The sequence below is a fragment of the Homo sapiens genome, chromosome 1 (assembly GCF_000001405.40).
Source record: "Homo sapiens chromosome 1, GRCh38.p14 Primary Assembly".
In the NCBI taxonomy this organism is placed as follows: Eukaryota; Metazoa; Chordata; class Mammalia; order Primates; family Hominidae; genus Homo; species Homo sapiens.
The window spans coordinates 12,466,004-12,480,818 of record NC_000001.11 but is presented as its reverse complement, the minus strand read 5'-3'; the positions used below and the strand labels follow the sequence as shown (position 1 = coordinate 12,480,818).

At 43.2% G+C, this 14,815-nt stretch overlaps 1 protein-coding gene across 2 annotated transcripts in view, besides 4 other annotated features; it reads right to left on the bottom strand.

The window, feature by feature from the left end:
• VPS13D (vacuolar protein sorting 13 homolog D) overlaps nucleotides 1-14,815 on the bottom strand; it is a 282,018-nt gene that overhangs the window by 31,229 nt on the left and 235,974 nt on the right. The gene's annotated exons all lie outside the window — the stretch shown is intronic.
• Nucleotides 1,358-2,214: an enhancer, noted in NCBI's record as "H3K27ac-H3K4me1 hESC enhancer chr1:12538660-12539516 (GRCh37/hg19 assembly coordinates)". NCBI's record gives its function as "activates a minimal SCP1, AML or CMV promoter by ChIP-STARR-seq in primed H9 embryonic stem cells {active_cell/tissue: H9 hESC(primed)}" and the evidence as "EXISTENCE:reporter gene assay evidence [ECO:0000049][PMID:30033119]".
• Nucleotides 2,215-3,072: an enhancer, noted in NCBI's record as "H3K27ac-H3K4me1 hESC enhancer chr1:12537802-12538659 (GRCh37/hg19 assembly coordinates)". NCBI's record gives its function as "activates a minimal SCP1, AML or CMV promoter by ChIP-STARR-seq in primed H9 embryonic stem cells {active_cell/tissue: H9 hESC(primed)}" and the evidence as "EXISTENCE:reporter gene assay evidence [ECO:0000049][PMID:30033119]".
• Nucleotides 2,431-2,725: a silencer, noted in NCBI's record as "tiled region #8719; K562 Repressive non-DNase unmatched - State 5:Enh". NCBI's record gives its function as "represses a minimal TATA promoter and a strong SV40 promoter by Sharpr-MPRA in K562 cells {active_cell/tissue: K562}" and the evidence as "EXISTENCE:reporter gene assay evidence [ECO:0000049][PMID:27701403]".
• Nucleotides 6,631-6,925: a silencer, noted in NCBI's record as "tiled region #15009; K562 Repressive non-DNase unmatched - State 5:Enh". NCBI's record gives its function as "represses a minimal TATA promoter and a strong SV40 promoter by Sharpr-MPRA in K562 cells {active_cell/tissue: K562}" and the evidence as "EXISTENCE:reporter gene assay evidence [ECO:0000049][PMID:27701403]".

Below are 14,815 nucleotides of genomic sequence, written 5' to 3'. Positions count from 1 at the left end.
ACTGGGAACCTTCTAGTTAGTGCCCTCTTTGTCTTGAGATTTTTGCAGATAAGAATTTCCATAAATCCCAGTTAGTCAATCATCTGGCTACCTCATGGCATTTTTAGGTATGGTTAAACAGAACCAGAAAATTTCAAAAGAGCAGCAGAATTCCTTTATACAATTTAACCTTAAATACATGATGAGGAGAACCCTCAAACAGGTACTCCATTAAAAGTCAGCCAGTACCAACGTTTGCTGAACTTCAGGATTAGCAATCATGTAATGGAGTCCAGATCGTAAGTTAGCTCCATCCTGGGACTCACTACCAGAGCCAATTTCTAGGTTTTTAAAGCACTTTGACCATGGAATCATAACACAATCCAACAATCTCTGGGTTGGCCAGCCATTTAGTCTCTTCTCCTACCTCTAGAAAGCTTCTGTCCAGGATCCGTGGCACCCAAACAGAAGCTCTCCCTGGCCTCCAAAAGGAGATGGCTATGACATACTGAGCACATGCACCTGGGACAGTCTACTGCGGAGGCTTCTTGTACTGTGTACCAGCTGGAGTTCCCAGGTTACCGCCTGGTGAAGATGGTCTTGGCAGCATGGCAGAGCAAAGATGGGTTGCAGCAGAGAAGTGTCACTGCTATTCTGTGACAAACTGGCACACTGTGAACTTGGAAGGCTGCAGTAGTTCATTATTTCAGGAGTGGAATGGGGTACACAGGGATGGACCAGGGACAGCACAGCTCCTGGGCACAAAGCTTAGTGACCTGCTTCTCTAGGCACTGGCACTAAAAGGCCAGGGTCTCTCCATGCTCAGGCCCACTGCTGTTTGGCCCAAAGAGGCCCTTGAACATGAGCCCTTCCAAGCTTCCCAGCTATAGTATATCCCTCACACTGTCTCTGTGTTAAGCTGGTGGGCTGAGGGAATTCAATACATACCCTTCATTCGCATTGTGGGGTCCAAATTTTATAGTACCTCCTCTCCAAGTGAACCAGGGTCTTTGCACAAATCTTCTGGGCTATAGGCAGATATTAAGCTCCTACCCTTCATATCCAAGAATCGAAAGGAAGTAGACCTAACACTTGGTCAGATGCTTTGGATTGAAATCATGAGGTCTTTCGATGTGAGGGACCGAGAGATGGCCCAGAAGCAGCACAGAGATTAGGAGCATGTACTCTGTGTTCAGTTGGCCAGGGTCCACATTCTGGTTCCCTTCCTTACTACCTCTGAGATCTTAGACAAGTTACGTATCCCCTGTGTGCCTCAACTTTCCCATCTGTACAATGGGGAAAGTATAGCACCCACCTCATAGGGTGGTTGTGAAGACTGAATACTAATGACAGCGATACCATGCAAGCTAGTCAATGTTTTGGATCAATTTCTGCAGCACTGTCATCCCGAGCAGGTGTCTGCCTAAGAGGCATTGTCCATTGCAGACAAGCAGCAATCTGGAAGTGACAGACACAGATTTCTTCCTGGACACCATGGACAAAGCACAGGCAGGTCCCGAGTTTGGCCAAAGAACGTGACTGGCTGATGGACAGGACTAAACTACCCCTTCGCCCACTTTCTTCCTTTTGTCCTTTGAACACAGGCAGCCCTTTCTTTCTGACTATACTTATGCTAAATCCTTGTTTGTCTGCCCATTTCCTCAATGCAGTGCCCACTGTAAGAACCCAGGCCACTCCAGGCCTTGCTGTGACAATGTGCCTATTTCTACATGCCCTCCCTATTGAATGGACAGAGTTCCCATGGGGCCACCGGCCTCGGACAGTGAGAACTCTGGGCTCACAGGCCACTCCGTGGGGCGGCCTTCCACCTGCTCTGTTTTAGCACCTGGGCGTAGCTGTGGAAGGCCAGAAAGCAAGGCTATTAACAGCTTTCGAGGTGATGGGGAAGGAAAACGGCATCATCCCAAGCTTGACAAGAGCACTCCACGGCCGGCATCTGACCCACCTCTGCCACCGATGCGGCCTCCTTGGAGACAGGCAGGTTTCCTGTGGTGTCAGCCCTGTTTCCTCCAGCAACATTATACCACAAACAGAGAGCTACTCTGAAGAAAGCACTAAGGTGTCCCGTTTCTGGCCGGGGGGAGGGAGGCAGACTGCTTTGCTTCTCCAGAGAGAAACATCACCGTGCCTTGACCCTCTCTAGACAGCGTTTCTTCCTCTCCCCAGTCCTGAAAAGCTGTTTGAAGAAAAGAAACGTGCAGGCTTTCCTTTATGACCTCAGATGGGCAAGTTCTGAATGGCAGCTGGTTCTATTACATGCAGTGTGAGAGGGTTAAACAGGACAGCCTCGACTCTTTATAAACTTTTGCCCTGTGGATATGCACTCATTGGCGGCAGTACAAGACTCGAGCTGTATTACACGCCTTAATGATATGGTTCAACTGTCGGTCAGGCTTGGGCCTGGCATTGGGCCAGACCGCAATCAATGGGACACAGAACCTCCCCCTTTCAGATCATCACGAAGGCTCATATTATCTCCTTTTCGTCGTGCTGGTTAAATTTATGGAGCAGAACCCTGAAGCCGCATTCCTCGGCCTGGGCCGGCCCACGCGGCACTCCCTCCCTTTGTTCGGTACTGTAAGCCAGCCGTGCTTCGGAGGACTACAGGGTTGTTAGTTCAGGCACTGACTGTTTGCTCATGACTGAAGTGAAAAGAGTTCAGGGGAAGGGCAAAAGGACAGCCCAAGTGTAAAACCCCATCCCAGCAGGCCCTGGGCCCCTATATATAGGCCCCGAGCTGCTCCTGAATGTCACATTTCACTTTGTTCTCACAAAAGCAAAATCTTCAGTCTGATCCCTGACGAACCTTCCATAAAACAGCTGCTGAGTCCTCCTACAGTGCACCCCCACTTGAACTCCTGGATTTTCTGGGGTGCCATGGGAGGCAAGATTGCCCTTAATACAACCACACTAAAAAGGAGACAGATCTCTATAGCTATCTGCTAGTCCTTCCAGGTTCCACAGGAGATGGGAATGCCAACCCTGGTTACTAGCTGGTCTTATTTTTAATGTAGAAAAAAAAAATTTATTTTTCGGTCTTTGGCTATAAGGGAGGGATACGTGAGTGCTGTATGTGAATGCATGTGTGTGTGCACAGGAGGGAAGTGTTTATAGGGGATTTAGTCTTATGGAATCAAATAGGAGAAGGTCCCAAGCATTAGACCTGCCGAATCTATCCATGTGTTCTCATTAATGCTCTGATTAGCATCCAAAGTGTTAAACAAGCAGCTCACATGGGCAGGACTTCATTTTAGTTTTAGAGTTTAGCCCAAGAGGAGGGCTTTCCTGGAATGTTCTAGAGTGGCACATTTACAACTCACTACAGAGGACGCCACTGGAGGGCTGGAAAGGCAGGTCATCGCGGAGGTGAATCCAGGCTCTCCAAGTGATTAACTGTGAGTCTATGGTTTGTCACATCGAGCTGTTGTGTATTAGTGGGTCCACCTGTAAAATGAGGCTACTGGGTTGAATTTTGGAAGTCTGAAATGATTACTAGAACTCTTCTAACGAAGGCCCAAGCAAAATAGAGAAAGAAAGAGTAGGAGGAACATAGAGAAAAAATCCAAAACCAAAAACAAACCAAAGGTATAAGAGGAGCAGGTGGGAAAAATGGCCTCTGAGGGGTGAGCCACTGCTGACTTGATACGTGTTTTTCTGGTCAGTTTTGTCTTCACCCATCTTGATACTAAGAGTTGGGCCCAAGCTTGTTAAAAATAAAAACAGAAATCCCATACTAGCAACTACATGCCCACTGGCACTTTCCAATTCCGGGCAGAAGCAGACTTCTTTGATGGGGTTCAGTGAAGCCAGTGGTCTGTTTCAAATCAGACCCTAGTTCTATCTGCAGGTGAAAAGTCACGCTTCCTCCTTCGAAGTTAAGCTATGTATTTCTGAACAGAAACTGTAAATATACTCTCGGATTTTCCTCACAAGGTTTCCTTGTCTACTGTGTTTGGAGCTGGTAAGTGAATTTGCCATTCCGAATCTTAATTTAAAGCCCCTTTTGGTGGTGGAGGCAGGGTAGAGAGGAGGTGCCACGGATCACAGAAAACCATCTCTTGTTATATCCCTCTTGTCTATGCTTTTGTATACTATTTGTTCTGGTTTGTTTAAAATATAGTGTTATAGAGAACCACTTAAGCTGGGAAATAAAAGGCAACAAAGAGGTAGGCTAAATTTAGGAAATTTTCAAGAAAAATGTGTAATCCAGTCAATCTGTCTCCAGTTATTCATATACATGTTCAGGGTTCAATTAAGTCTTTAGTCATAATATGCCACATCTCCCAGGACAATCTACAAAGCACTTGCACTCACATGATCACGCAGGTTACATTAATACACGTAAATGAATCCAGTCTCCATTAGGCGTTGAGTGTGTAACACGAGGACTCCTGAAGGCCTACTTTGGCCCATCATGAGCCCAGATGCATCAGGAGTCTCTGATATATTAAAATTTGGAAAGCTGGACCTACCCCTGAGAATGAGACTTTAATATGGGCCAAGACAGACTGAGAACTTATAAACTCAATGCCCCTGCTTCCTGTTGACTTTTTCTATCTCAGGATCACTTTTATGACAATATTCCAGGAACATGCAATTCTAAGTAAATAAACTGGCCAAACTCTGAAAATGCAGGAACACAAGTTGCTTACAAATGAGATGTAGAAACCAGGACAAAGAGAGCTGCCATAGCAGACTCACTGGTGTGCACGCTTCTCTCTTGTACATTCTGTGGTTTGCCTGTTCCACGAGCTATGTGACACTGCTATTTACTCTAGCACTGTGGCCAAGGCTAAGAAGTACTCATCTAATATGGGTTTGGGAACTAAAAGGAAATATGTTTTGGAATTTACTTTTTCACACCCACACACCATTCTTGTACAAAATGCCTCTGTCAAGGTGTTTTTTTGTTTTTTGTTTTTTTTTTTTTAAACATTGATTTCTTGGCCATCAGCTAAAAGAAACTAAACATTCAAGTACCTCCACGATGACTGAGCATGCGGGAAGTGGTTTATTTACAACAGGTTCCCTGGACATTTTATTTGATGTATGCTGTCCTGACAGACTCCACCCATGTGATCAAGCCTGCTATGTATGTCTGGGGCCACTTTGTAGTTTTCCCAAAGGTGAAATCAGAGGGAGGGCTGAAGTGGTGACAAGGCCAAATTGGCTACAGACTCAATCCCTTGCGGGGATGAGATGTAACTCACTTAAATGGTGCTAAGTCCAGCTGGGGATTAGGCTAGGGCCACAACCTGCCAAAGAATACTTTAGGTACACTACAGCTGCAGATTAACCTAGTGCTTTTTTATTTTTAGAATCCATTATCGGGCTGCCATATATTCTGCATGGGCTTTTTCTTCATTCTAATATCCAGCTTCCTCCCTGATGGCAGAGCCAGCCCTAGGAAGGGAGCTTCCTCTGTGCCACTCCTCCAGGAAGTTACACAACTAGTTATTCACCTCAGCCATGCAGACATGACCAGGGCAAGGATGACCCTCTCCCCCTTTGTATGGGGGAGAATGACCTGAGATGGGGATATAAAGCTGTCTGCACAAGGTCACAAAGCACAGTAGCATCAGAGCTGGAGTCAGGGCTCTGCTCTTGTGATTTGCAATCCTGTTCTCTTGCCAAGGGGCCAAGCTGCTTCCAGTACCCAAAGGGAACATCCAATAGCTTATTTTGATCACAGAGAGTTGAGTCAAGAAGGAACTGATCCTATGCTGACAAACTGAATGAATGTGAACTGCTGCCACTTCCGCACAATACATCAGGACGAGGCTCCATGCTACTCTGTCAGCTCCACCACTGCCTTTGGGAAAAAGAATAAAATCCCATGAATCTCTCTAAAACTTAAAAAAAAAAAATCTGCATTAGTATATTGGGCTTTAATAGGGTTTTTAAAAAATCTGTCACTACAGTGCGTTGTACTTATCATATGTTCTAAGAAGAGCCCAAGTCGCAAATGAATTGCCTGTGGCCTGAATGCTATTCCCCCAAGAGCTACCTCCCTTGCCTAAAGGATACCCAGAATTTCCTAGGAGGCTCAAAAGGCAACAGTTAAATTTCGGGAATTAGGACAAATGGGAGGATGAAGTTTGAAATGAATTACAAAGGGAACATTTATAATCTAGAAAATGTTCATTTTCAAAGGCTCAAGGCATTACGATAATCCACAGTTATCGATCTTGTATTTTCATTATGCAGAAATCGTGAAATAAAAGGTGCATGATGAAAGCAGTGTTTGAAAGGGCCCATCAGACTTAGCTAGAAATGAAAGAAATAGTTTTTCCTCTTAAACGCTTAGCCCTGAACTTTTTTTTTTTTAACAGACCTAGGGGACCCCGACCTACATAATAATATTGTTGTGAGATTGTCCTGGTGGGAGTCAGACAGATCAGCCCTCGACAGTTCCAAGAGCCCCACTGAAAAGGAATCTGATTCTACAATTTAAAACCCTTAAATAATACTGAACAGTGGACTGTCATGCGTCTGGAAAATATAACCATTTTTGAAGAATGCTTTCCAAACCACGTAATGCTTTTAAAGCTGTTTATCAAAAGAGCTGGATGAGCCACGGTGGCCTGAAACAGTTTATCAGCTGTTACAGGGTCGCATGCCCCATCCTAATTTCCTTAAGCACTCCATCATTCTCGGTTGTCCTAGTCTCGGCAGACAACAGATGCCAATGTTTGGAGACATTTGCTACATAACTTTTACCCGACAAACCTGGCTCCAGGACAGATTTCCATGTCATGTGGGGCTTTTGGCTGAACTCTGCTCGAACCCAGAGGCATATCATTTACAGCAGACACTAACAATAGTTTGGGGTCACCTGCTCTTCACAAGTGGGTTCAGAGCAAGTTCGTGGCCTCTGCACACCTTTTCCAGTGCGGTTCCCACACACAAAGGCTCAGAGCCCAGGAGAGTCCCTCCACCCAGCAACTCAACCAGGTTTGGTGGCCTGAGTTCAACTGTTCATTTTGTGTGAAGAAAGAGAATGGGAAGGACAAAAGCCCAGCCAAGCACATGAACTCCTAGTCCTCACACTCTAGCAGGTGGTCAGCAAGAATTCGGGGACAGGGTTGAATTTAAGTAAGAGCTAGGGACACAATCCCTGTTTCACCTTCACACAACATTCCAACATTCAGGGGAGAATATTCACACTGACACCATTTCTTGAGCCCTACCTGCATGCCACATGCCAGGCTGAGTGCTTTATATACATGATATAATTTAATCCACGTAACCACCCACCGAGGTAGGCATATGACTCAAAGGAATCTCATCTCAGAGAGATTAAGAGGGGAAAAACTTGTTCCAGGTCACAGCCAAGCAGCAGCCCAATGACTCAAACCCAGGGCCAACCGACTCCCCAGTAGGCCTGTTTACCCTCGCACTGCAGATGCCGGAAGCAGCCAGTGCTGCGGAACCCCTTCTTGCTTCCTGCAAATGCGTGGTTTCTTTTCACACTGACTGCCACGTTGCCCCTTCCTATTTCTTTTTCAGAACTGGGGAAGAACCTGTGATTTTACGTCCTTTCCACATCTTTTTCTGAAACAAGCGCTTCTCTTTGAAGAAAGACCTCTTGCCCTTGGAGTGTCAAGATAAGAAAACTTTCAGCAACTTCCCTTGGAAACTACAAAACACCCATCAGCACCCAGGATCTAAGTACAGTCGCTCCCCAGCTGCTGGCCCCTCTGAATAGCTTTTATGGTTCAATGAGGGGTGGTGACAGGGCCATGTCACTACCGTAGGGTGTGCTATTTCTTTCATGTTCCTGGGATCTGACAAGAGCCTTCCACAACCTGTTTCTTTACAACACACAGAATGAGAGATTAAAGACCAATACCAGACTCAAAGCAGGGGCTGGGACTGGCAACGGCTTCTCACCAGATGTATTCTCAATCTTTCGGGGAAAGAAGAGCCACAGACTGCCTGAGCAGATGCTGTGCAAAAGCTGCTGTGATGCCTAAATGAGATAATACATAGAACCATGGCTGAATGGATATGGGTTTCATAAAACCACACTAATTCAGAGCCACTAGTTGGGGGTAAAGGGGAAAGAACACCAAGAAAGGAAACACAAATTAGTGAAAAGTCTAAATTATAGGACTTCTGATTAAACATGACAGATCTAGTCCAGAGACCCCTCTAAAGGGAAAGCAAAGGGATACAAATGGCACAAATCCAAAAGGATAAAGAGAAGGTGTCAACAATATTTTAGAAGCTGAAAAGCAGATGGACACGTGGCGCTGAAATGTAAGCCTTGAGGGAGTGGAAGCCACAAAGCAGAAAGCTAATTAGGATGGTGGCCTCCACTGCATTTCAGAAAGATGGAGGCAGCAAGTAGCTCTGAAGGCCTGGAGCATAAAGGAGAAACAGATAGGCCTGGAGTGAGGTGAAAACAGGAAGATTGGTTAAAAGGCTGCATGGGAAGCAGTTAGAGCTTCAGGTCCCCTCTCTCATCCCCATTCAGTTTTGCTCCTCTCAACAGGAGCCCAGAGTCAGCAGGTCCCCACTTGATCATTCCACAGTAAGGCCCCCTCAGCCTCAAACCAAGAGCTCCCAATTGGCTTTTTAGTGCCTCATCTTTAAAGAGGAGTAGAACAGATAGTCAAGAATCACCAGATTCTCTGGGGACTGTCTCTATTCATGAAAGAAAAAGACCAAAACAAATAAATGGAAGAAAGAAACTCAGAATAGTACTGCTATAGTACTACTATAGAAAAATAGCTTAGAGACAAAAATAGCTAGACAACAACCAGTCAGATGGGAGCAGAGGACATCAAGAGGGAGAATTTAATTAGAAACCAATAAATTACTCAGTGCATTTGTACACATACAGAAGAGTGTTTGTGGATAAATTAGCAATAGGAACATAAAATTTTTTTTTTCTTTTTTAAAGAAAAACGAGTTACTAGGCCCAGGGTTAAAAAAATGTGGAAACTAAATAAGCATTTGAGAATAAATTACGAATGTGCATATAGAAAACAAAGCAGACAATACTGAAAGAGCAGTTACTAACTCCAAGGAGAAAAAAACAAAGCACAACATTTAAAAAGGAAACATCATCAAAGTGACCTGGGTGGGGGGCTTCACTGGGAATACTATTTACACAGTCATAATAACGTAAAAATGGAATACTAAGTTATTCAAAAAGGATCATATAACTGTACTGAAAAATGGGGAAAGGAAACATGTATGTATAACAACATGAAGTCAAATGATGTCAAGAAATAGCAGTTGGTTTATTTATGAAATATAAAGGTAAATACCTCCACATTGAAGAAACAGCCCAAAGTGTTGAAAGTGATTGCCTCTGAGGGAGCAGGAATCAGGGAAAGGTAGGGCAGGAGATTACTGTGTTTTGGTTTTAGACATTTAGAAAGACTTCAACTTAAAAAAGTGAATACATATCTACTTTGATAAAATCTAATTTGAAAGATAAATTTGTCGTAGCAAAATAATTCAGGTAAAAATAACAGGTTTTTAAACACTGTTCTTCTTCTTTTTTTGAGACAGAGTCTTACTCTGTCACCCAGGCTGGAGTGCAGTGGCATGATTTCGGCTCACTGCAACCTCTGCCTCCTAGGTTCAAGCGATTCTCATGTCTCAGCCTCCTGAGTAGCTGGGACTACAGGCGTGTGCCACTATGCCCAGCTGATTTCTGTATTTTTAGTGGAGACAGGATTTCATCATGTTGGCCAGGCTAGTCTTGAACTCTGGCCTCAGGTGATCTGCCCACTTCAGCCTCCCAAAGTCCTGGGATTACAGGCTTGAGCCACCATGCCTGGCCCCCATTGTTCTTATTAATTGCACAGAAGATACTAAATATTTATTAAATACAGCTAAGGTATAAAAAAACTAAAAAATCAAAGGATCATTAGCTAATTTTATAAACAATTAGTAAAACTATAACTATTTGTTTTCAAGGAGCTGTAACGGACCCGGTAATGAGGGAAAAAATGCCTGTAATTACCCCCCTCAACACATACCATATGCACAAATGCAATTTTGTTGTTTTCAAGAATAAAGAGTAAGTCAAATCACTAAAAAATGAGTTCTTCAAGAAAACTATAGGGAAACTTGCTTTAATGAACACGTAAGAGTGGCTTAAGAATATTAACACACAAACCAAACAGCTTGGTGATTCTTCAGAGCAGTTTGTCCTCAATTATTTAAATATTCCCAGTATTTAATACTTATTAAATGCCTGAAATATAGTAGGAGTTCAAGACTCAATAAATTTCTACTGTCAATTTGCCTGTACATACTAAGTGATGGATCTGAATATCCCAAGGTCAGAATTGGCTCAACTGAATTAACTGGGCCCTCGATAGTTCAAACAAAAATAGAAACACACTTCAAGGTTTGCATCTTCTCACTAAAGGATAGAAAAGCACTTCACATGTGGTAATTTGGCCTCTAACACCTCAGGAGGTGGGCAGGTGCCAGTTATTACCACTCTAACTGTGCTGCTGGGGTCAATTAGTAAAGTCTAGGGAACTGATGAGCCCTGGCCTCTGTCCATCCTGGCATTACTCCGCGAGGTTACCATGGATTCTAGCCAGGATTCCTGTGACCCATACTCCTCATAACGAGAAGTGAGGTTTTGCTCTGTCTCCCCTTTGAAGTCTCCTGCAGTCCCTGGGATTTTATGATACAGTTTGGGTCACCCCTGCCATTATCGATGTTTGAAGTATGTTTGGGGAAATCTGCTAGGAATTGTCTCTGGTGTTAACACAGAACAACTGCCTCATAAAAACTGCTTTCTACAAGGAGTTCAAAGGAGCTTATCCAAATACTGTGGGTTTATCCTACTCCAGCAACTTTGCTAGGGGAGAAAGTTGAGGTTTTGGCAAGTGAATTCTGAAACAGATACACCTTCTCGAGTACCTGCAAGAGTCAGGGCAGTGCAAACACAACCAAGCAGCCTTTGGACAAGATTCTGCACTTTGAAGTAATCTGCTCTACACTTACTACCCTGCCGAAATTAAAATTTATTGGGATGGTAGGTTAAGGTGAAGAACTAAATTAGGTAAATTATTGTAAGAGGTCTTTCTGATATGTGATAAAATATTTCCAATTGTTACTTCTAGAAACCCAGTAAAAGTCAGGAGCAAACCAGGAGGGCTGACAACTGTTGGCAGGAAGCCAAAGGGAAGCATTGCATTACAGCGGCTCCTACGGTTTAGTCCGAATTAGCCCATCATTGCCGATATGTGCTACTTATCAGCAAGATGATGGATTATCAATCACTGTATTTTCAACTAGAGCAGCTTGTCAAAAAAATTAACCAGGTACGTTTGTTGGCTGGTGGCATGTATGCAGAGTCACAGAAGGTGAGGAGAGTGGCACCTGCACATTTTTGTAAATCTCTTAAGTCTTGCTAACTGGAAAACAGCTGTATTCACCTATCTGCTTCTACAGTCAATCTGTTACAATATCATACATTGTGTAGCTTCTGGAAAACTCCACTGTATACTCATTAGAGAATACTATTATAAAAATTGTTATATCTATAAATTCATATATAAGTACATGAATATATACAAATAGGTTTTAGGTTATGGATCTGGGGTTCCGCAGGGGGTCCCTAGACCGTATTTTGAGACCCTCTGTTCTAAAAGAACCCATATGTACAAATTCTCTCTGCTAATCAGAAAGCGGTTTCCTCAATGTATTAAAGTAAATCCACTAAGGATATAGATAAGTAACATTATTAATTTGAATTATATAAGCCCAATATAACAAAAGTTTTTTGTTTTTTTTTTTTTCTTTGAGACAGGGTTTCACTCCCATCACCCAGGCTGGAGTGCAGTGGTGCAATCTCAGCTCACTGCAGCCTTGACCTCCTGGGCTCAAGCGATTTTCTTGCCTCAACCTCTGGAGTAGCTGGGACCACAGGCGCGTGCCACCATACCCGGGTAATTTTTGTATATTTTTATAGAGACAGGGTTTCACTATGTTGCCCAGGCTGGTCTCGAGCTTGTGAGCTCAAATGATCTACCCGCCCCAGCCTCCCAAAGTGTTGGGATTACAGGCGTGAGCCACCGCGCCCAGCCTCTTTTAGAGTATATTGTGATAAGAATGTTTTACTAATTCAATCTTATTTTCCCTCCATTTGACAAGTTAGTAAGAAATTTAGCAAGAAAATGTCTTTGAGAAGGAGACTGGCAAAAGAGTACCAGATAAATACATCAGGGCAAGAAAACCACGGGTGAATTATAACACCCACACCTATCTTTCCTTCCCTCAGTGCTTCCGAGCCATAATCTGTAATACAACAGTGAGTCTTTAAGTCCCTGCTAGTCCAAATGTCCTGTGTGTATCTCAGAATTATCTTACAGTCTAAAGCTCTCTGGGAGCAGGGGAGCTGAACTCAAACCTGGGTCCTCTTGTTAAAGATTTCAATTTTATCTTGGGCAAAGGTGGATGATTCTGTAAGGGAAAAACATGAGGCATGGGATAGTCATGAAAATCTAAAAATAAGTAAATCCAATGCCTTTACAGAGGAGTTCCACAAATAACAAATGGCTCTTCAACCTTCTCTAATGCACAAAATACAAATTTTTTCTCAAAAAGAAATAGACACCGTTTTATTTTTTCTTGAAGTTCAAACCAAAAATCTCAAATGTCTTATCTTATGTATGTAATATTAGGTGTCACGTTAGAGTTTTAAAAACAAATTCACTGAACACAGAAGGGACTACAGATGTATAATGGCAACATTATTTCATTTTTAAATGGAATAACCCCAAATCAGAAAGTAAATGGAATAACCCCAAATCACACTTCCCATTCATTTTCTTTGCACAAGGACCTGCTGGTTGAGATGCAAGGACTGGACTTTGAAGAGATGTTGATTCAGATGTAAATTCAGTAGGTTTTTTTTTTTTCTTTTGGAAGCAGGATAGTGTGGTTTCTATGAAGTCAGTCATCTCTGCATGCCAAAAATGGCAAAAATTAGACGCTCTCCTTTCTAGAAATGATTATAATGTACCATGACCAAAAAAGTGGGTTTTTTCCTAACAGATAATCTTGCATAAAAATGACTCTTGGGATTTCAGAAATGGAAAGGCTTTTCTCAAACACGTGTGTGCATGAACACACACACTTTGCATTTTTTCCAACAATAGATCTGAGCTTTCCATAAGTTATGTTATAATGAGAATGGCATCGTCTGGGGCCTTTGAGTGAAAGGGGAATACAGTATTTAGAGTTCAGCGAGAGGGAAGAAGCCTGTCTCAGAAAATAAGATTTCTCTGCTTACGTTCCTGTGAGAGGAATTTTAACTTATAAGGCATGAAGGACTGTTAAGATGCTTCTTTAAAATATCTGATCCTGACTGGGTGTGGTGGCTCACGCCTGTAATCCCAACACTTTGAAAGGCCAAGGTCGGCAGATCATGAGGTCAGGAGTTCGAGACCGGCCTGGCCAACATGGTGAAACCCCATCTCTACTAAAAATATAAGAATTAGCTGGGCGAGGTGGCGTGCGCCTGCCATCCCAGCTACTTTGGAGGCTGAGGCAGGAGAACTGCTTGAACCCGGGAGGTGGAGGATGCAGTGAGCCGAGGTTGTGCCACTGCATTCCAGCCTGGGCGACAGAGCAAGACTCTGTCTTGAAAAAAAATAAAATAAAATATCCGATCCTATAATTTCATCAGCTTAATTTCAGAGCCAAGTGAGACATCCAATGTCATCAACACAGGTCTTAGTGTTCTTCTGGGGTTGCTCACGTAGAGGGAGGAATGAGAAAATGACCCATCTACCTTCAAGCATTCTCTGGAAGGACCTGGTTTGGCAAGATCAGGAAGTGAGAATATATGGCTCTCACCTCACAAATATATACGCAAGGGTGAGTAGAAGATAAAGGGACTGTCACTATATCTACTGTGCCATGTTTGGACAACAGAGGAGATATTTGACAGTCCCTTCCCTTCAGCTGGATATAGCAATAATTTTTCAGTTTCACTGAAATGTAATGCCTTTTTCGTGATGAAACTGACATGTTAACTAACACAATGGCTGTCCCAAGCAGCAGATGTTACACCAAGCCAAAAGACAGATATGCCCAAAGATTAGAACTAGAGCCTTAGGGTCAAACAGGTACAAGTTCCAGCTTTTCACCTCTACCATATACATGCCTCTATATGGATGCTACTACAGCGTACCGGACTCATCTGGAAGGAGCGTGCTGGAACTTCCTAGATAAGTATGAGGCAGGAGCCACAGGATAACATATCAGATCTTTCTGAAATGTTAATTTTACCAGGTAGCAATTAAAAATATTTTCTTATTAAGCCAAACATGGAATAAAATATAAAACCCATTTACAGTTTTAAGGAACAGGAACTCTGAAAGAAATATTGGACTTGATCCACTCTAGATACATGGGATATCAGCCTAGTCTCCTGCCTTGAATGGAATATTAGTGGGAAAAAAATGAACACTGGTATATCCTAATAAACATTTGAATCTTTACTCAATCTTTACCTTTGGAAGTTCCCTAAAGGCTCAATTCAAGCCAATTCTGTTTGATGTCCTATGTGTAATACCAAGTATAAGAAATGGCTGCTCTCAGAGCAGAGTAATTAAAAGCAGTATTACCCAGCTAGGATGAAAAAGTTAATGGAAGCATTTCCTAAGTTCTCTTTGCAGACTATTTTTTTTTTTTTTTTAGATGGAGTCTCGCTCTGTCGCCAGGCTGGAGTGCAGTGGCGCAATCTCGGCTCACTGCAACCTCCGCCTCCCGGGTTCAAGCAATTCTCCTGCCTCAGCCTCCCAAGTAGCTGGGAGTACAGGCGCGC